General features: G+C 48.8%; 1 long non-coding RNA gene across 1 annotated transcript in view, besides 1 other annotated feature; it reads left to right on the top strand.

The window, feature by feature from the left end:
- Positions 1-22,289, top strand: part of LOC105375053 (uncharacterized) — a 30,660-nt gene extending 8,371 nt beyond the window's left edge. Inside the window, exons 2-3 of the long non-coding RNA XR_926790.3 lie at positions 20,940-21,054; positions 22,022-22,289. This is a non-coding gene — a long non-coding RNA (uncharacterized LOC105375053). The remainder of the gene's footprint in view (positions 1-20,939; positions 21,055-22,021) is intronic.
- Positions 12,592-12,791: an enhancer, noted in NCBI's record as "active region_24497". NCBI's record gives its function as "activates an Ori minimal core promoter by ATAC-STARR-seq in GM12878 lymphoblastoid cells {active_cell/tissue: GM12878}" and the evidence as "EXISTENCE:reporter gene assay evidence [ECO:0000049][PMID:35858748]".
- Positions 22,290-22,640: the final 351 nt, after the last annotated feature.

Below are 22,640 nucleotides of genomic sequence, written 5' to 3'. Positions count from 1 at the left end.
AACCTTGGCAGTAGTAGTTGGCACATTGACTTGATTCTTCTTAGAGGGCATGGCTGCCTGGCCCCCAATTTGCCCACATAACCCACATCCCCAGAGTTACATCAATGCCTCAGCCCCTTGGCAAGGAGCCTGGACCACCAGTACCAGCTGCCGAAGCCATTGAGGCTTGCCTTGGCATGGCCTTTGTGGTTTTCAGTGTGCATTGCCGGCTGGCCTTCACATTCACCTCCTCATGGCCTGCTCCTCCTTCTGGTGCCCTGGATGCCCAACCTTCTCTAAACTCCCACTGTTAAGTTCATGCAGTGCTTTGACCCTTGACAGTTGGCCTGGGCCTCTGCAAGTCTCAAAAGTTAGTAGGAAGTACACACCCCATGTTCTTGATGTCTTTTTTTTTTTTAATTTTTTTTTAGTGTTTATTGATCATTCTTGGGTGTTTCTTGGAGAGGGGGATTTGGCAGGGTCATAGGACAATAGTGGAGGGAATGTCAGCAGATAAACATGTGAACAAAGGTCTCTGGTTTTCCTAGGCAGAGGACCCTGCGGCCCTCCGCAGTGTTTGTGTCCCTGGGTCCTTGAGATTAGGGAGTGGTGATGACTCTTAAGGAGCATGCTGCCTTCAAGCATCTGTTTAACAAAGCACATCTTGCACCGCCCTTAATCCATTTAACCCTGAGTTGACACAGCACATGTTTCAGAGAGCACGGGGTTGGGGGTAAGGTTCTAGATTAACAGCATCCCAAGGCAGAAGAATTTTTCTTAGTACAGAATAAAATGGAGTCTCCTATGTCTACTTCTTTCTACACAGACACAGTAACAATCTGATCTCTCTTTTTTTCCCCACATTTCCCCCTTTTCTATTCGACAAAACCGCCATCGTCATCATGGCCCGTTCTCAATGAGCTGTTGGGTACACCTCCCAGACGGGGTGGCGGCCGGGCAGAGGGGCTCATCACCTCCCAGACATGGCAGCCGGGCAGAGGGGCCCCCCACCCCCAGATGGGGCGGCGGCCAGGCGGAGGCACCCCCCACCTCCCAGACGGGGGATGTCTTTCAAGTATATTATCTTGCCAGTTCCATTGGTCCCCTGTCACTGGGCCACACCAGCACCTCTGCTGCCAGCCCCAGAAAGGACTAGAGGATGATCTTAGTGCCTTAGTTGATTTAGCATGTGCAGGCTTGGCTGTCCAGTGCCCACTTGCCAATGGGCCTTCAGAGAGGAGACACTGTTATCTCCTGAAAAGCACATTGGCTCCTGGCCACCTGTTTCCTACAATGTTGCATCCACAGGGTTGCCTCTTAGACGGGGTGCCTTGGCTATTCCTGGAGCATATCAGCTGCCCAGTGCCCAGCCTGTGTCCTAACATCTCAAGGCCCACCAGGGGCCTAGACCACCAGTCGGCCACAACAGCCTTGGTTCATCTCACAGGGGATCAGCTGCCTAGGCCCTACAATGCTGAAACACTCAGTTGCCTTAGACCCCTTACAGGTGTCCTGAACCCCTAGTATCAGTCCCCAAAGCAAGCATGGGGTGGCCACCCACTGTGACGTTCCTTTCCACCCCTCAGGGTGACACCAGTGCTTTGGAATCTCGGCAGGCAGCTTGTGCCTCTGATTCCTGCCTCAGAAGCCATGCGAAGGTGGTCTCTGGGTCATCTGGTACACTTTCCAGACAGTGGGATACACGGCAGTTAAACCAGTTGATACCAGGATGCCAAGGCCTAACTAGACTGAGGGCCAGACCACCTTCCAGTACAAGGAGCTGGGGGATCTCCTGGCTGCTCCTTCTCTCGTGGACTGTCTCAGTGACTCTCCCAGAGGCTGTACTCTGGTGGTTGAGACCTGGGGTTTCCTGGCCCCTGCAAGCGGGAGACTCGAGGTTTCTGGCACTTGAGGGGTAAGATTAGGGGTCTCTGGCTCCTGAAGGGAGGACGGTGAGGAAGATTTCTAACAAGAGGAAGGGTTTCCTCTTATCCCTCCAATTCTGTGCACTGGCCCTGTCCCAAATGTCTTACCTTACTTGAGGCTTCAGATTATAATGGGATTTTGGCATCAGGCCAGTCAAGTTTCCAGCCTTGTCACTGACAATGGATAACAATGACATGGTCTTTCTGGCCTTGGTTTTTTTTAGAGGTGTAATAGGGTGGTGATTGCCAAGCCTGAAGGCTGGTCAGTCTTCCAAGCTCTTGCATGGCCTGTGTCTTTGTTTTTATGTCAACCCTTGGGCATTGTTTCTGTTGCCTTGTGTTTTTCAGTGTCACTTCTAGTCTTTTCTTTGAATGTGTGATGTGGTGATGTTAAATTAGAGAGAGGAAGTTGGAGGGTGGGTACGTGATAGAGCTCCAGGTAGGAAACACTGCCCACCTTTCCACCATGCCCCTGCTGGGTCACAAGTCAGTTACCAGATCATGGCGCTTTCTGGAAGGCACAGGTCTCATCCTCTGGGCCCCAGCCTTTCCTTCATGGAGGTTGGGTTGAGGGCTATCTCAACCTGTGGAACTTTCTAGAAGGCTCAGCTTTCAGAACCCCTATTGTCTCCCTTCCCATTCAACCTATCATCTTGAAAGGTCACCGTATGGCCTCTTTAGGGACTGTGGAATTTTCTAAAAGCTCTCACTCCCTTGGCCTGAGCCTTCCCTTCATGGAGGTTGGGTCGTGGAGCTTTTTGGAAGGCCCAGGATCTCAAAAATCTTTATCACTTTTCAGCCTCCACTCAGAGAGTCTTGGTTTATCCAGATGTCTTAGAATCTTCTGAAAGTTCCTATTTCTCCCATCCAAAGAAGAGGACTATCCACCCAAAGAGGGCTACTGCATTTCTTTGTTAAACTTTATTAAGTCCATCATTTCCCAGCACCCATGCCTGGGGGGTGGGAAAAAACACTCAACCTCTAACTGGAGGAGGCCTGAGTGTGTGGTTCTGCAGGGGTGGCCAAGTGAGCCCCAGGGCATTTAGGGAGAGCCTGGGGGACTTTGCTCTTCCTGGCTGAGAGATAGACTTCTCTCCCTCACTTTTTCCCTTCACCCCATCCCCTTTTCTCAGAGGCAGTTGGGCAGGAGGCTGGACAGGCCCTGGGGCCTAGTCCCAGTAGTGATGGCTGGATCTCCTTGGGCTCTCCAGGCATGTGGCCCCCACTGTGCCCTCCTTCTCCCTGCAGGAATGGTGGGCTGGGAGCCACCTGTGGAGGGGGCTGCATGTGAGCTCTGGCTATCCTAGGGGGCTCCCATTTGTTTCTGGCTGAATCCTTCTTTCTTACCCCTCACTTCTTCCACCAGTGGAGGGCAGATTCCACAGGCACCCCCACAGCCCACTTCAGAGCCAGCAGGGACCCGTGGGCTCTGTGGGAAGCTCTGGCGCAGCCTGCCAAGCCTGAAGACTGGTCAGTCTTCCAAGATCTTTCATGGTCTGCTTCTAGGGCATTGTTTTTGCTGCTTTGTGTTTCTCAGTATCACTTCTCGTGTCTCCATCGAATGTGTGATGTGGTGGTGTTAAATAAGAGAGATGAGGTGGGAGGGTGGGTACTTGCCAGAGCTCCAGGTAGGAAATTAGATCACCCGTCCTGAGATCCACTCCACCTTGTAAGTTCTGAGTCCTGTGCAAATCTGGAAAAGCTACTTAAACGTTTAGCCTCAGTTTTCTTCTCTGTAAACGAGAGGGGGTGTCCATTTGAACTTTCGAGGATGAGAATGACAATTTGAGTTCTCTAGAGATGTTAGAATATAATTTTACATACTGTTCAGTACCCACTTTTTGACTTCTGACAGCCCAAATGATGCAATTGTGTGTTAAGAGGGAGAGGAAGACCACCCATGAATTCAAGATATCTTTTCAAACTCCTTCTATAATAGTTTTGGAATGGAAATTAGAGTAGTACCTTTCCCCGATCTTCTTATACCTGGCACACAGACCTACCTAACTAGATGTTTTGTCTTCTATCACAACCCCGAGTCTCCTTGTCCTGAATCTCAGCTGTGACCTAAAGATATTTTCCATGTAGCATCAACACCAGAGCCAACACTTTAATGTGGACAGAGTCCCTTAGCCTTGGCAGCAAACTTTAGAAGAACTTGGAAGTTTTGTTTTGGCCCAAGGAGACTGGCCCGTCAACCAGACCCCCCTCAAAGCACTTGAGAACAGCATTTTGTATGTTATTGCCAGGGTTTGGGTTGGTGAGCTCAGATGACCAGGTTAGGATCATCTTCCAGTCAGGATCAGTGGGTCTGCGGCGAAGGGAAGCTGGACGTTAGGGGAAGTGTGTAAAGAGGGCCTGGCCTTCTGTCTGCCAGCCCCTGTATACCACACCCACAGCCCTTCACTCTGCCTGAGGGGGCTAACAGCAGTCTTCAACCTTTTTTGAGCACAGCCTCGTCTGTCACTAGGTGACTTGGTACTTGTGGTTTAGTTGGAGAACAATCCTATGTGTATTTTCACTTTAATAAGAGGAGAACTCTTATTTCTACAAGGAATGGACCCCTGTACCAGAAGACCTGGTACTGTGGGAGACTTGGGCCCATGGATGTTCAGCTGTAAGGCCGCTGTGGCAGTCCTGAGAAACAGGTAGTTGGGTGAGGGATGATGAAGGCACCAAGATGACAGTGTGTGCTGGTGCTGAATGCAACTGTATTGGCTTCTCATGACCAGCCTGAGTGCTACAGCAGGGAGGGCTGGAAATTTATGGGTTCTTATGAGATCCTCCATTGGTAAAAACTAAAACAAAGTGTTCATCCAGGGCCACAGGGGATATCAGCTGTCCCCTGTCCCTCTCTGCTTTCTTATCTTCTCCAAGTCATGAAAAGCAGGACCAGCTTGGCAGGAAGACAATGGGCGTCACAGAGACTTCAGCTGGGCCCAGGTAAAGCCACAGAGGCTTGGGTCACTCTGTGGTCTCTGGAGCTCTGGGTTTCCCAAGAGGGTCAGAGTGATGGCCTGGCCCTCCCCACTACAGGTCCCACAGGCCTGGCACTCAAGCCATTGAACACCAGGCTGGCTGGAGGATGTATATGAGAATTTCTCCTAAAGTAGCTCTCTTCTCCGGGAGGATTCTGAAATTAAATGTGTTCATCATTTGTAATGAGATTAATACCACTTGGCACAGATAGAGAACAGGGGATGCCAACACCAGATAAGGAAGGCTGATGAGAGAACACTTCTAGCTCTTGAGATTCTATGGGCTTAATCCTGTTATTATTGTTAATACATGTAATTTAAAATATCAATGATGCATAATAATGAGGCTTTATTTCATCTTTTCTAAATATCTGGGTCACGCATATACAGTGTTTCATAGTTTACAAAGCAGAGTGGCAACCCTGACAAAAATCCTCTGAGCCATTTTACAGCTGAGAAAAATGGCTGTCAACTCCAAGATCCCAACTCCTGCCCCTAGGCCAACCTGTAGTGGTGCAGTCTGTGTCTGCAGGGGTCACCTGAGGCCTGGCCAGGACCTTTTCTGGGCTTTTCTCTGACAAGCTAACTGTGTGATCCTGAGCAAGGGGTCACTTCCCATTCCCGCCTTAATCTCTGCTCCTTCTCCCACTATCCCATAAACATGAGGTGACAACTACCTTCCTGTGGACAGCACCTTGGGCTCTGTGAGTCACTTGGTCATTCCCTCCCCATCTCCTCCTGGAGTGTAGGTTCCCAGAGCCATAGGGAATCTTGACTGTGTGTGAATAAACCACCATATATTTAAAAAACAGGAATCTGGGAATCATGTTGTTTTTGTCTTTTGAGGTAAATTGTAATAGCCTTAAGGACATAGATGATGTTTGTATATTTAAGATATTATTTTTCAACAATTTGGGGCTTGGTCTAGGCACCTAACAGGCCCTGTGTAAATGAGTGCTAAACTCTTTTTTCCTGAGGGTGCAGCCTTCTAAGCCTCCTTCCTCACATGTCAGGCCTTAACATGACACCCAGAAAACTTTCTGCGTTTCTAATCGCTTCTGCTCTCTGTAGGTAATTGCACAGAAAATCCATGTTGTGAAGCCCTCAAAGAGAATTACAAGGAATTATGAAATCTGCTTTTCACCTTATTAGGTTTTCTTTCTGATGGAGAAGTAGGCACACTTTAAGGATGGGGGTTGGGAGGTGCAACCAACCTCCACTGTGCAACTGAACCACACGCTTTCCACGTTTCACTCGAAAATCAACATGGGAGCCTACGTGAGCTGGGGCCTCAACAGATGCTCAGCCCCAGGGTTGATGTGGCTCTTAGAGCTCCGTCTAACCTAGCCTCTGATGAGGACGCTCAGGTCCAGAAATGGGACATGTTTACCTCAATGCCATAAAACTGGTGCAAGCTGACCTGAGATGTCTATTGCCCAGGGCTCTTTACGGGGCCTGATAGCTGAGAAACTCTACCTGGAATAATGACCTGGAATAATGGTCAGCGGCAACTGGAAGATTTGCACAGGGCAGGACATCCACTGAACTGCTTTGCAACAGCAGGAGTAGAAACTCAGGTTATTGTAAATATGCAGAACATTTTATGAGCCCCACAAATGGGAAAGGTCTAACAGTGGGATCAGTGTGTGAAGCCAGGCCTGTCCTGAGATACTGTGGCTGAGATACTGGTCATCTTATCCCATTTGGCAGTTATAGGTGGTCAGGAATGAGGGAAGGAAGCAATGAGTCACAACATCCAGCCCTACCCATTCTGGGCCCATCCCTACCCAAAGGGCACTCCAGTCTGTTGGTCTGTTGTGAGGAGGATACTTGTGAACAAGGGGGTAAAAATTGTCAGGGATGTCAGAGAAGTAACATTCCTGAGGGCCTCCAGGGAAGGGAGCATAGGGTGAATAAAAGTACATAACAAAATGGTAATATTAACAATAGCTGCTGCCCCCTTGAAGTGCTTGCTCTGTGGCAATCACTGTCCGTACACAACCTTATTGTCATGAAAGCCTTGAGAGGATGATATTATAGTCTTCATTTTAAAGATGAAGATACTGAAGTTCAGAGAAGTTATCACTTACCCAAATCCTCTCAACAAGTAAATGGCAAAACCAAGATTCCAACGCAGACCTCTATGACTCCAAAGTCAGAGATTTTCCACTGTGGGGGAATGGAATGAAACAAAGTGTAGATTCTGACATCAGACAGGGCCCCATTCCACCATTTGCCAGCATATGGCCTTGGACAAGTGACTCAACTTCTCTGTACTTCAGCTTTGTCATCTGTAATATGAGGAGTAGAAGAGAAGGAAATGAGATGATGCTTAGAAAGCACCTGTCACAGTTCCTGGTTAAGGAAAGTGAGTGATAGATTGATGGTGCTGTTATTCTTATTTCAAAACCTTCATTGTGGTAATGGGTCCCCCTACCTTTGGTCAGCTTTGTTGATTTGAAAATCTAATATCCTCACTTTGTGACGAGGGTAGACTTATCTTTTTCCAGTGTTCTTTCCCCGTCTTTTCCATCTCAGTAAATGACATCCTTGCTGTGGACTAAGTTATGTTCCCTCGAAATGTAAATGTTGAAATCCTAACCCCTAATGTGACGCTTGTGGAGACAGGATCTTTAGGAGGTAAGTAAGATGAAATGAGGTCATAAAGATGAGATCCTAATCCTATTGGACTGGTGTTCTTATAAAAAGAGGAAGAGAGGCCGGGCACGGTGGCTCACACCTGTAATCCCAGCACTTTGGGAGGCCGAGGCAGAAGGATCACAAGGTCAGGCAGTCAAGACCATCCTGGCTAACACAGTGAAACCCCGTCTCTACTAAAAATACAAAAAATTAGCTGGGTGTGGTGGCGTGTGCCTGTAGTTCCAGCTACTCGGGAGGCTGAGGCAGGAGAATCGCTTGAACCCGGGAGGCAGAGGTTGCAGTGAGCTGAGATTACACCACTGCACTGCAGCCTGGCAACAGAGTGAAACTCCATCTTAAAAAAAGAAAAAAAAAAGGTAGGGGGAAGAGAGACCAGAGTTCTTTCTCTTTCTATCATTTGAGGATGTAGTGGGAAGGCAGCCACCTGCCAGGCAGAAAGAGAGCCCCCATTAGAAATCCATCCTGCCAAGTCTTTCTTTCAGTTCTGGAGACTTCACAGGTCTTCGAGCTGGTTAGTACAACCACCGTGTGATGAGTTGGGTAAGCCAGAGATCTGGCTGCTGCTCTGATACTTCTAGTTCCCTCATGGTCCCCCATCATCCCATGCCATAGTATATTAGATCATTTCTGTCTCCAAGACATTTCTCTATCTTCTCACTTCTCTTGGTCCTTCAACATTTTTCCTATAGATTTTTTCAAATATCTGTAAGAGTAGAGAAAAAATACTTTATATCAAAGTATTTATCACCAGCTTCAACAATTATCAACATGTGGTGAATCTTGGGTAATCTATTACCTTATCCACTTCTCCACTCCAGGTTATTTTGAAACAAACCCAACACATTGTATAATTTTGCCCATAAATATGTCAGTATATTTCTGTAAAAGATATATACTCAATTTGAAAACATATATACAACTTTAGAAAAACATAACCACCTTACCATTATCGCTTCTAATATTTTAAGTAATTTCTTAAAATAAAGAAATATAAGGTCAGTGTTGATATTTTCATGATTGGCTTGAGAAAAACATATTTTTGTAAAATGTGAATCAGGATTCAAATAAGATTCATATATGGTGATTGGCTGATGTGTCTTAAATCTTTGTTATTTGTTCCTCTATGTCTTTTAATGTCCATCCAATTTCTTAATGAATAATTTGGATCATTTGCCCTGAAGAGCTTTACAGAGTCTGAATTTTGCTGATTTCCTCCCTGTGGGATAGTTTAGCAAGTTCCTGTGTCCTTTGTATTTTCTGTAAATAGGTGTGTGTGTACCTGAGCGTAGAGAAAGAAAGAGAATATTCCATGTGACTACATTTTGTTTGTTCTCTCCTTTGCAGGGATGTGAGGAGTTAGGTATATCTTTTGGTATCTAGAAAGGTTTATATTTTTCTTCTAACTGCTATCCTTAGGTAATGCCCCACTCCCAGTACCAAAATCTGTATTAGTCAGGGTTCTCTACAGGGACAGGACTAATAGGATAGATGTATATATGAAGGGGAGTTTATTAAGGAATATTGACTCACACGATCACAAGGTGAAGTCCTACAATAGGCCATCTGCAAACTGAAGAGCAGGGAAGCCAGTCCGAGTCCCCAAACCTCAAAAGTAGGGAACTGAGAGTGCAGCCTTCAGTCTGTGACCAAAGGCCTGAGAGCCCCTGGCAAACCACTGGTGTAGGTCCAAGAGTCCAAAAGCTGATGAACTTTGAGTCCAGTGTTCGCGAGCAGGAAGTATCCAGCACGGGAGAAAGATGGAGGCCAGAAGACTTAGCAAGTTGGTGCTTTCTATTCCTGCTTTTATGCTGGCAGCTGGTTAGATGGTGCCCATCCAGACTGAGAGTGAGTCAGCCTCTCCCAGTCCACTGACTCAAATGTTAATAATCTCCTTTGGCAACACCCTCACAGACACACCGAGGGACACTTCACATCCTTCAATCCAGTCAAGAAGTTGACACTCAGTATTAACCATCACAGTTACCCTTAGGTTTTGCTTATAAAAATACTTTAATTCCCAACTCCTGATGCTTCTATGGGTCTGTTGATGTATTGGTGAAATTATCTTCATCACCATGCATTTCCATTCTAGTCTCAGTTACTGCTTTTTCTCCTCTGAACAATTGCAATGGTCTCTGAACAGGCCTCCTTGCATCTACTTGGTTTCCTCCAGTCTAGGCTTCACCTGGCAGCCGGACAGATCTTTTCAAACAACGATATTCTTTTTTTTCTTTTGTTATTATTCTTTGTAACAGAGTCTCGCTCTATCGCCCATGCTGGAGTGCAGTGGCATAATCATAGTTCACTGCAGCCTCGACCTCCCAGGCTCAAGGGATCCTCCTGTCTCAGCCTTCGGAGTAGCTAGGACTACTGATGCATACCACTACACTCGGCTAATTTTTAAAAAGTTTTTGTAGAGAAGGGGTCTCCCTATGTTGACAAGGCTGGTCTTGAACCCCTGGGCTCAAGTGGTCTTCCTGCATTGATCTCCCAAAGTGCTGGGATTATAGGCGTGAGCCACTGCACCCAGCCTAAACAATCATATTTTGACACTGTCCTGGGCTTCTCACTGAACTTAGAGTGCAATGCAGATGCCCTGAGAAGGCTTCCACAGCCCTGTGTGGCTCTGCCCTACCCGCTCTGCCAGCAGCTCTCTGAGAGGCTCTCCTCTTCTGTGTCATGATTCACCACTCTGCCTTCTCCCTGTTTCCCACCCCAGGCCCTCTGTGCAGCCTGGTCCTTCTGCCTGGAGCATTTCCACCCAGTATTTGCTTGGCTGGCTCCTTCTGTCTCTGCAGCAATCACCCTGAATAGCTCTTCCTCAGGGCGGCCTACTCTGGCCTCTTCCCCTGTGATATGTCCCTCGCCACTCCTCTCCCGCAGCAACCTCTTTTCCTTCATGGCCTCTGCCATGACTCAGACTGCTAACTTCCATTTGTGTGTATGCTTATTTCGTATTTGCCTTTCAAGGACAGTACATTTGTCCTTGAGTAATCTTACAACTATATTCTTAGCATCTAACATAGGGGTTGAAACACAGGAAATGTTCACTAAAAATTTGATAATCCATTGATCTAAACGACGTGACAAGAGATGGGAGCAGCAGCTGGAATACAAACAGAGCCATGGGAAGGCATGGATTCCAGCCCTTTGGGGAAATTTCTCTTCCCCTGGTCCCTCCTGATGGTGGTAGGGAGGGCTGGCCAGGAACAAGTGTAGGGAGGGCCAGGTGCATGGTGAGGCATGAGGGCTTGGGGGATATACTGGTGTCCACTCTAAGAGGAGGGTATGAGTGCACATAGTTTATTGGGAGGTGAAGGAAACCCCAGGAGGAGAGCGGGTAAGTGGGACAATACCTGGAAGCCTCAATAAGGGAGCCTCATCAAGTCAGCCATCCCTTTGGGCGTGGGGGCTTAGTCCCACAGGGGAGCTCTGGGAGCCAGCATGTCAGAGCTGGGGTAGGGAACAGGGCATTTATCCCCAGACACCTCTGGCCTGCAAACAGATGGCAAAGTGGGCTCAAGTGGACAGAAAAAGTACTCAGGAGAGGATACACGGATGGGGTCAAGTCAGAAGATCTGGGCAGAGCACTGACAGCACCTGCACACCTGGAAACATTTGCTACCTCATGAACCTGGCACTGGGTGATGCAAAATTACCCAGATACCGTCCCTTCCCCTGACTGCAGACAGACATCCTGACAGAGATCAGACAGGTGGCCATGGAAAGAGTTAATCCCATTGCAGGCAGCAGAGGCCTTGCATCCTGCAGATGAGCCTTCTGCGTGTGCAGATGACAGGTCAGGGAAGTCCGCATCTCATGCCCACCTAATCCAGGCTCTTTGGGGTGGGTTAGGGCACCTGCTACATGAAAGAGCGGGATGACAAGAGTGACACAGCACTTTTCCCCTCTCAGACCACTTTCACATCTATGACCTGTTCCTGCCTTACAACCGTTCCAGCAGTGGGTGGGAAGAAATTATCCCCCTCCTTTTATAGAGGAGGGAACTGAGGCAGAAGGGAGAAGTGACTCTGCTGTGGTCTGTCCAGAGCTGGGGAGGGGCAGGCCTGACCCCTTGCCCTAGCTTCTTTCTTGGAGGTGAGCATTTGTGTGGGTGAAGCTCTTTTGCCAAAAGTTATGGGTACAGGGAGGAGAGTTCAGATCCCAGTGAGAATTCTGTGGCACTTTTTCCAAACTGGCCAGGCAGGCGACATTCTTAGGAGCAGCCACAAGATGGCAGAGAGGCCGCACACTGCACATTGGGTTTCCTTGGGGGCCAGGGGAAGCAGCCCAAGATGAGGGTCTGCTGAACATCCCTGAAGACCCTTGAGGATTCCTAGAGGGCTGGCTGGGAGTAAAGGAGGAAATGCACGGGGAAGCGAGAAAGTGGAAATTCTGCCAACTACTTACTGTGTGACCTTGGGCAAGTCACTTGCCCTCTCTGGGCCTCAGGCTCCTCCTTTGTAATCTAGGGTATTTGGACTTACAGCAGAATATTAGTCTTTTCCAGTTCTGGCACTGAAGGAGGTATGACCATGGAGGCACCTTGGTATCTGAGCTCCCCCTCTGGCTGTGAGGCTGGAGGCTGGGAGACAATCAGAGGTGGTTGGAGCATGATCGAGAAAACAGTAGCCTGACTGATGATTTCAGAGCAGGGTGAGGAAGGGACAGGAGGGAGAACTTTGGGAAGACACAGAGCAGAATGTGGGGAGTAAGGAATTAGGCACCCGAGGCAGGGGCTGTATCTGTTCATCCCTCTGTGCATAATTCTCAGCTTCAAGGTTCAGAAAACCACCTTTACTTTGGGTGTCCACCCACTGCACACACATCTTAGCTCATTGGCCTGTTTTCTTTCTTTTATAGCTGCTATCCCTTTCTGAATTTATTTGCTGATTTATGTGCTTATTTCTGTCTCCTCCCCTGGAATGTAAGCTCCATAAAGGCAGGGACTTTGCCTTCTTGTTTATTCTGGATTCTTAGCAACTAGAACAGTTCCTGGGAAAAGCAGTTGCTCAATAGGCAGCTGTTGAATGAATGAATGAATGAATGGACACCTGAATGGTGAAGTAGACAAAGCCCTGAACTGGGAGTCAGAGTGCTGGGGCCTAACCCTAGAAATGTGCTGTGTGATCTTGGGGAAACCTCTTCTCCTTTCTGGGTTTCAGTTTCCTGATTCTTAAAATAAGTTGTTTGAGTTCCCTGATCAAGTGTCTTAAATATTTAGAAGCAGAAGTTCCTTCTCCTCTAATTCTCAAGTCCTAGGGTTCAGTTAATCCAGTCAATCACCCATCATTGTTTACTTTCCCCTCCAAGACCAGCAGCCAGCTGATGAAGAAAGCTCTTGGCAGGGAAGTCTTTCCTCATTCAGTGAACATTCCTGGGTGCCTACTTTGTGTGAGGCTCTGCTCTAGATGCTGGAAGTCCAGAGGAGACCAAGTCAGATGTGCATACTGACCTCTTATATTCTGGTGGGCAAAGGTAAAAAATTGTGGGTCTTCTCCCTTCATTCTTAAAGGTAGAAAAGGCCAAGCTTTAAAGAAGGCAAACACTCTAGGCTCAGAGTTATTCAAAAGGAAGACCCTCTAATATTAGGAAGATGGGGCTTGTGGGACTAGGGCCTCCAGAGATGCCTGTGGACCTGTCTCTAGGGAACATAATGGGTGGGTGAATCTGAGTTTCAGCCCTCACAACCTCTGTTGTGGCTGTCCCAGACCTGGTCACTGGGAAATACAGTCAGGTCTGTGCTTGGTGTGCCCCACCCATCTCATTAGAACATCCCAGCCCTGTGTCCCTTTTCTTCAGTGCTTTGCCTTTGTTGAGGGATTAATCTCAATAGACGAACAGGGTAGAGCCAAGTCATGATGGGCTGAGTATGATTTACCCTCCAAAAAGAGAAGCTGAATTTAATTACCAAGTAAACTCGAAAGAGGTGACTCTAATGGTAAAATTTCAGGCCCATTGACAGGTTTGGGGAGAAAGATAAGCTGTACCTCCTTTAGTCAGTTGCCTGTAATGACCCCAACTTCCCCTCCCCTTGGGCTTGAGCACATAGGTCTCAAAGCTTCTCTAGAAACTCATACTCCAAGTGCAGGCAGAGGCTGCCACATGGGCCTCATCCAGGAGCTTCTTAGGGATGCCCAGCCCCCTCCCCCCACTGCCCCCGCCCAACCAGACCTCCTAAACCTAAACCAGACTTGAAGTTGACTTTAAGGGAACTTGTGTGCACACTTGGATTTGAGAGCACTGGGCTGAAATGCCCCTTGTTCCCCAGAATGATGCCTGTTCCTGTGAACAGTTTGCTTTCCATGGCAACCCCTGCATGACCACTGCCTCTCTCTGCATTCCCTTTGCAGGGCCACACTAGTTTCTCATTAGGAGGCAGAAGAAGGAGAGGCATCAGGATGCCTGGCTAAATAAGAAGGCTGAGACTTGTTATCGTAATGAGCCAAAGAAGCTCCCTGAAGGAGCGGCCCTGTGTGCAGGGTGGGCTGGATAATGGGGTCCTCCTCAGAGGTGGGAATTCTCTCTTCATCAGTCTAGCATTTGTTTCAAAGGAAATTAGGCCATGAAATAGCATTTGCACTGTTCTACTATATATATATATATATATATGTATGTATATAGACAGAGATCTCTCTCTCTCTGTCAGTCACTCACTCTCTCACTCGCTCTATTATGGGTGCTGGATCCCTTCCCTTGGCTCTCTCAGATCCACGCTCCCCCCTCTCCACCCACTCTCTGCCCTTGGAGGCTTGCCTGTGTGGACTGCATCAACCTACTTCCTGCCCTCTGGCTTCCTGATGGCCCAGCCAATGGGAGAAAAGGAGAGTGAGGCCAGCATTCGTGCCCTCCCTGCCAAGCTGCTACATCTCCCTACTGAGGTGACTCTTCTCCCCAGGCAGCGCTCCCACAAGACCTTTAGGCCTTCGAGGTCCTGGCAACTGCTCCCTCCCTCCCCTCACCCCTTCCTGTCGGGGGTGTTAACTGCACCCACTGAGGCTAGCCCCAGGTGTTGCACCCTACCTTGCTGGTTTCCTTAAACCCTGCCCCACACCTTGTAAACTCCTTCTTCAAACTCTCCTCACTTTCCTCCCCCAGTGAGCCATCTATTCCCTGATGGGTTTAATATGCCTGGGAAAAAGACCGGAAGGACATAAACCAAGCTAGAACTGCAGCCACGTTTCCCTTTCTGTTATGACCTGTGTGTCTCTGAGCTTCCAGCGACGCCCGCCGCTTCCTTTCCTTCAGGCCTCATGAATGCTGTAGGCTTTTGGAAAGGGTGGAAGCCAACTGCATTGCATCCCTAAGCATTTGTCTCCTTCCATGTTCCAAGTACAGAAGGGTCCACAGCCCAGCTGGCCCCAGGGGCAGTGGGGTGGGCAGGGCAGGAAGGGTCACTGGGAGGGACTTCAGTCAGCACCATGATGATTCTCCCACTCTGGGATCAGTCTATCCAGAGGCCCCGTCATGGCACCAGACACTGAAATGATGACCTTCTGTGATTCACTCCTCCGGGAAGGGAGACCTTCCAGAGGGTCTTGGTGTAGGCAGCCATCAAGGGCTCTCTTCTGTCCCAACTCCCCTTTTGCTCCCTCCCAGTCTCCCTCCTGCCACCCTCTCTTCACTTAGGCCATTGCCACTTCCTGCTTGCTGCTCCTCAGACACACCAAGCACACGCCCTTCCATTCCTTAGTCTTGTTATTCCCTCTCTGTAGACTGCTATTCTTCCAGACATCCTCAGGGCTTCTCCTCATTGCCTCAGTCTCTGGGCAGATACTACCTTAATCAGAGAGGCCTTCCTTGGCCATCCAAGACACCATTGCCCACTCCCATCACTTTCTGCTAGGCACAGACAAGGCACTCAGCAAAGTTTTGTTAGTGAATGAATGAATGAATGAATGAATGCTCTTTCGGTCACCTTAGGAAGTCAGGACTACATGGGGTGGGAAGTGGCTCCAAACACCTGCCAGCACTCAGTGAGGGGGCTGGTCCCCTCCAGAATTAGTCCGGCATGGCAGTTCCACTTTGCACGTCTGCTAAAAATTATCATGTCCCCACCCAGGCACAAATGTCTAATGCCTATTGATGGAAAAGCCCCGTCTCTGTGAGGGGCCCCTAGAGTCACTCCTAGGAATAGGGCTCTTCCTTTATTTCTGTAGGCACAGGCGTTTTCTAGACCTTGGGAATGCCAACCCCCTTTGCTCAAGTGTGTGGAGTTGCCTGTAGGGATCATGCCCTCAACCGGAAGGCTATGTCCTGAGATAGATTTCTCCAAGAAGAGTTGCAGACCAGGCCACTAATACCTTAGGGAGTTACAGTCATGGGTTCTAATCCTGGCATGGCTATTAACCAGCTGTGTGGGTTTGGGCAAATCACTTTCTCTCTCTAGTTATTAGTGTTTGCATTTCTCAGGGAACTTCAGGCCCTAAAAAATTAGGAATCCAGGGCTCCAGAGTCTGGCTATAGTACCTAGACTTGAATAGCTTAGGAAATAAGCTGGACTTGGAGATGTTCTGTAGTTTGGGGTCTGTCATCATTCCTAATGATTTAGTCCTTCCCAGTCAAAATCTCTCTGCATTATTCCCCAGGACATCCCCCTTCTTTCATTTCCTGCCCTTGCCCCCTTCCAGATCTCCTCTGGGTCTTTGTACATGCTAATCCACCGTCCCCAAATGCTCATCCTTTCTTGCCCTGCAGAGTCTATAGCAGACACATCTGAGGCTCACCTGCCATCCCATCAGCCCTTATTCTTTAAGCACATATACATGGACCCAATGCTTCTTTGTAGCACCTGCACCTCTTTGCCTGCAGGCTCTTCCTGGCTGTTGGAGCCTGCATGGCCACTGTTGGGAATGAATGGCTCTTGTTGGGGACTGATGGGAGTCGTGAATAAGTACCCTAAATATCTGCACTTCAGGGGAGAATTCTAAGGCCCTCGTTGGCCTATTGTTCTAACTCCCACGTTTCCCTAGTAGGATTGAGCCTCATTTACATTTGTTGATAACACACCTTTCATTCAGTGTCTTCCCTCCCTGTCTCATGATTTCATTCCCTACTAATATTTTTGGAAGGTCAGTTCCCAAATAAACCATGTGCACTCCAATCCATCTATTCCTGAAGACTCAGATCCATGGTCACCTTTTGTTGGAAACCTTCCCTGCCTCCCTCAAGTTGGTTGCTCGTGCCTCAGTCTTCTTGTAGCTTTTCTCTCTGTATCCACCCTCTTGGTGGGATTGAAAGGATCCCTTCTGGAGTCAGTCGGTCCCACAGGGTGAAGTCTCCCTGATGTCAGAAACCCATGTCATTTTCCTTTGTGCTTATGTGTCCAATAGGGAAACCGAGCTGCTGCTCTCCTCGTCTAGTCTTCCTGCCTTTCTCAACTGTCCAGCAAGCATCCTGCTACCTTAGCAAAGAGTTCAATCAGTTCCAGATTTCTCTCCCTCTGCTTTAACCCCAGATTAGCCCGGATTCTGTTTATAAACAGCTGCACTTCCTTATAAACACCCTCCAAGTGGACCAGTTGCCCATCAATACTTGGCACAGGAAAACACCCCTGCAGGCCCTTCCACCCACAGTGATGTTTCCTGTCCTAAATCATCTCCATGCAGCTGCCAAGGGCCAGGGAAAGTGCTCCTTTCACTGTCCTGCCCACCTCCTAGGTGCATCTCCTCAGACTCACCTGCCTCCCAGCCCCTAGCTTTTGGCCTTCCTTTCCCGGGAGAGGGCAGGGGAGTATCTTCAGATAGAGAGGTCAGTACAATCCTGACCTTCTGTCTCATTCACATTGAAGATTTTTTGCTTTCCTCTGCTTCAAATTCTCTGAAGGGAAGAGGGAGGGAGGAAGGAGGGGACAATCTGGTTGGATTACATATTGATCTCTTGAGCAAATACATCCCGCCTGGACAGCCTGCTGTCTCAAAAACTGCTCTCCTCTCATTCTGAGAGCCTGGTTATCGACCTGTGATTCATCCAGGTCCCTGTGGGCTCTACCCAAATGGATGGAGCCACTGCCTAGCTCCTGCCCAGGAATTCTGTCTTTCAGGAAGCCAAAGCTTTGCCAGCCTCCTCTGCCTGCCTCATAGAGCCCTAGACTCTAGGTTCAACCTTGCTCCGAAGTCGCCACCCCTCTTCCATTCACCAGGAGAACAGGAACCTGCTGCCTGCTTTGATTCTAAGCGCGAAGGGTGTTCTGCTGTTCCCTATACATCCTGCCATCGCCTAAATGGCTCTTAAATATCCTACACTCCACTGATTTCCAGTACCAAGAGCAAAACCTTTCAAGCTATAGTAGGCATGTTTGTTAACTGAATTGTTAAAGCATTAGTGATCTGCTTTGGGTTGTTGGAGTATTCATTACCTCATAAAATGCAAGTACATTATCTAGGTGCCCTTGATGTATTCCTGTGGTTTCCTTTACCAGGGTAGCAGCTTGCCACCCTGCAGACAGCAGGAATGGCGGGGAGTGAAGCGCAGAACAGGTAGGTGTGGGGAGGGAGGGGGTAGGTGGGAGAAGTGGAAGTAAAGATGAGGCCTCAGGAATGGGAGTGTTTGTGCTGACAGTGGTGGTGGAAGCTGGTAGGGGGTGGGCACCCAGGGCAACCCTCTTCTACTTCACTGCTTTCCCCTGGGGTGGGGGGCTCTGTGCTCCTCCACCAACATTTTCACACCAGCATTGCTGGCATCATCTTTCCCCCTACACAGTACACAAAAATCCTGGTTATCCTCAGACGCCCCAACCCAAAGTCTCCATCCACCAAGTTCCCAGCTCCAGTTCTGCCAGGCCACTTTCCTCTGCCCATTCCTGCCAGGGATAGCAGGTGTCTGGGATGCAGGATCCAGTCCTCACTCTGCCCTTGGCAACATCTCTCTCCCCCATGGCGCTCATGCCATGGTCAGCAGTCTTGGCAGGCTCTTTGAATGGGAAGCTGGGCCCTCCAGCCCGGCCCTGTTTCCAGCCCCCTTTCAGTTATTATCCCTGCCTCAGGCTCGCTCTTAGACCAGAGTTCCCTCCCTCTTCCTCTCTCCCAGACCCCAGATTCTTGGGAAGCCAGGTTTTGTTCTCTTCACAGTGTCCTCAGCTCACCTGTCAGCCCAAGGTGGGAATCTTTTCTGGAGCTCTGGAAGGCCAGCTCCTCCCTGGCATCAGCAGCAGCAGCAGCAGCTCTGTGAAAGGAAGCCCCCTGCAGAGTTAAAAGCCTGCTCAGCCTCGCCCCCCTGTGATGCAGCTAGGGCCGAGCTGTTTTCCTCTTGTAGACAGGTCTGTCTCATGCGTTTAACACCTTTGGAGCCTTTGCCATAGGCTGGGCAGTTACAAGCAAGTATCTCCTTGTGGAATCCTCATAATAACCTGAGAGTAGTGCTCTCATCCCCATTGTGCAATGATCCATCTGGCCCCTGGGCTGCCCTAGTGAGGCACAGAGAGGTTCAGTGACTTGCCCAAGGTCATAGAGCTGGAAATTGGCAGAGCTGGGACTGGAAGCCAGGCCAGGCACCTGGCTCCTGAGTTTCAGCTCTAAGCCTAGGCCATCCTACGCTGACCTCCAAAGCCTATCTGCTCAAATGACTCCAGGCTATTCCACCCCTAATTTGTTAGCACCTGGCTTAGTTTCCCTGGATTAACTCATGCTTTTATCTGTCCTGTCATTTACCATGCATTCACTCAACAAACAACCATCTCCTATGCAGCAGACACTGCTCCCAGTGCTGAGGGCATAGAGAAGTGTTCGTGCCAAGGGAATTGTATTTAAGCTGCAGAGACAATAATAAAACAAGCGTATTATACTTATATGTGTTCTAGATAGTATACTTACTGTATTTAATAAAAAATAAAATGTGGCAGGATGTGATAAGTGTAATAAAAAGATATGGTAGTAGGAGGAGGTAATGAGTCCAGGGAAGGCCTGTCTGAGGCAGTGATATTTGGGCAGAGACCTGAGTGAAGCCAGGCAGGGAGGCTCTGGGTCCAGGAGGGAGCACTGCAGGGAGCAGGGCCTCTCAGTGCCAAGGCCCCAAGAGGGCAAGAGTGGAGTGTGAGGGACCCCCATAGTTGTGGCTAGAAGGGGAGGGAGAACTGGTAGGAGGGCCATTTCCTCAAGGGGACAGGAGAAGGCCGGGGGGCCTGGAGGGAGTTGAGTGGTGGAGAGGCCTCTCTGGGAGCAAGAGAAGAGCTGAGACCTGGAAGAATGAAAAGCCAGCCTTCAGCTTGCTTCTGAGAGATGGGCTGCATTAGAGAAGGGTGCAGTTTTGAAGACTGCCTTTCTCTGTGTCCATACCTACAGATGGGTGGGGAGGGCTGTGGAGGCAGCCTAGCAGTGCTGGGGAAGAGCAAAGAGCGCAGTCCCAGGAGGCCAGCCGGGGACGGGAAGGAGGGGAGGGAGAGAAGCTGGAGCCATAGATATCAGAGATGGAAAAGACTTGCCAGGTCATCGAGTGGGTCCCCTGGGGCCCGTGGAGGAGACACAGCTACAGGAGAAACCCCGCCTGCTCGTTTCATGCTCCGGCTGAGAGCTCGAGCTGGAGATGGGAGCTAGTTGAAATTAGATGGGAATTTATTTAAGGCTTTTAAACATTGCTGCACTCAGAGGGCCTTAAGAGAACCACAGATAGTTCCCTCACAGCCTGCCCTGAAGCCACAGCAGTGACACATCTGGCCCCTGGGCTGCCTCAGTGAGCTTTGGAGGATGGGGGGAAAGAGGCTGCCTCCACCCCCCTCTTGCTCTGTAGCCCTCTCAGCCCGGAATGCCGCTGGCTGGAGTGTCCTGGAGCTGGCAGTGGGCCACGCCTAACCATGTCCCCTGCCTGGTACGTACAGATGTGGAGGACAGCTACCCTGTATCATCTCAGCCATCCTGTTTTCCAGGGGAGGACTGAGTGCTAATGGTGGAGGGTCAGAGGAGGGCAAGGGCTGCTCTCTGGATTCCCCAGCTGAGTCTATCCCAGTGGGCTGGGGCCTTAACAGCCTCTTTCTGGCTTGGGGCCATGATGCAGATGCCTTTACAATGTTCACTTTTTCTAGATATTGTTGACTCACAAATTTCCCTAAGCTTCACCCAGGGTGTTCAGAAACCACTTTGCAAAACATATGAGAAGGCAATGAGAAAATAGTACAAAGACAATCGTGTGCACAGCTATGAGCATAGACTCTGGAGCCCAGGCTGTCTGGGTTCAAATCCCAGGTCCACCCCTTAGAAGTTGTGTGACCTTGAGTCAGTTACTTAACCTCTCTATGCTTCAGCTTCTGAATCTATAAGGTGTGGTTACCAATAATACCCATCCGATAAGGCAGTTGTGAAGATAAAATGTATGAAGGTAATCAAGTGCTCAGATAGGTGCCCGGCATATAGGGAAGGAGTGAAAAATGTTAGCGATGATTTTCATCTGTGTTTCTAATAATCAGTTCCTCGAGGTGGTCCTGATGGAAGCTGGAGAACCACTGTTATACTGACTGTCAATGATGACGATAAAGTTCCTGTCGTCAGCCTACTGAAGGAAGGGTCTTGGAAAGCATTCAGGTGAATATACCATCTATTTGCTATTTACTCATTCATTGGTTCATTCATTCATTCAGCAGACATCTGTTGGGGTACCTTTGAGCCATGGGAATGCAGGCTACTGCATGGCCATTGTTTCTGTGTGCTCACACTCACACAAAAATGTGGACACTCTTGTCCACACACATTTACTTTCACTCATGTCCCGATCTCGAGGAAGCAGCTCTCAGTTCAGAATCAGTCCAGAAGGAGATTCAGCCACGTAAATACCTAGTTCCAGTACGATGCAGCATGCTAATGGAGGTACACAAGCCATTATGGGAAGGAGAGAACAACAAATCCTGTTTGTGGCAACCATAGGGCTGGTGGGATCAGGGAAATCTCCACCAAGGAGGTGATTTTTGAAACAGGAAGAGAAGGTCAGGATCATGGGTACTTATTGGCAGGAGAACCACAGTGGTTAATTAAGAGTGTGGACTCTGGAGCTAGACTGCCTGGGTGTGCATAAGGACCTGCCACTTCCTGGCTGTCTGTTATGTACCCTCTTTGTGCCTCTGTTTTCTCATCTGCAAGATGAGGATAACAAAATACCTCCCTTGTAAGGTTATTTCAAGGATTATATGAGTTTATATATAAAAGGCATTTAGAAGATTGCTTGGTACATAGTAAAGGCTGTATACTGTACATGTAAACTACTGTTATGACTTTACCAGACTATATAACATTTGACTATAAGTCAAATATTGTTATGACTTTACCAGACTATATAACATTTGACTATAAGTAGCAGAACACTCAGTTAATAGTGATTAAAATAAAAGAGGCATTTCTTTGTGCTGTGCAACAAGAAATCTGGGGGTCAGAGGCTGTGGTAGGCAGCCTCTATGATGACTCTCAGTGATCCCCAGCCCCTCTTATTGATGCCAGCCTGTCATTTCTGGGATTAGGCTGTGCCTTCTAACCTGGATACTCCATGGCTATCTCCTAGGTCATCAGCTGCTATGCTATGAACATGCTCAGGCAACTCACAGAGAGGCCCTTGTCATGGGAAACTGAGGCTGCCAGAAAGAAACCACCCAAGTGAGTTTGGCAGCAGATTCTTCAGTCTCAGTCAAGCGTTGAGATGACTGCAGCCTTGACAGACAGCACAACTGCAGCCTCGAGAGAAAGCCTGAGCCAGAGGCACCCAGCTAAGCTGTGCCCAGATTTCTTAACTACAGAACTGGTGATTAATAAATGTTTGCTGTTTTAAACCACTAAGGTTTGGAGTGCTTTATTATGCAGCAATAGGTAATGGATGCAGAGGCCATCAAGGGCTTGTATGGTGGCTCCATGCTGCCTCAATAGGGGCACCACTGGAACCCAGGCCCCTGCTGTCTTTCCATCCCTCTACCTTAGCTTGAGGCTTTCTTTCTCATTGTTCATTCATTCATTCAATCCAGGGCTGCTGCATTTCCAAATGTTACACCTCTTTCTAAACAGGACGAATGTCTAAAGCCAGACAGATGGCATGCTCATGGAGTCTGTCCCTTTTGCACAAGCTTTCCCAGAAGAGCCATCCAACAGCTTCCAGTTTTATCTCATTGGCCAGAAGATTTCTGTGGCCA

The sequence above is a fragment of the Homo sapiens genome, chromosome 6, assembly GCF_000001405.40.
Source record: "Homo sapiens chromosome 6, GRCh38.p14 Primary Assembly".
NCBI lineage: Eukaryota > Metazoa > Chordata > Mammalia > Primates > Hominidae > Homo > Homo sapiens.
This window is presented reverse-complemented; position numbering and strand designations above follow the sequence as displayed.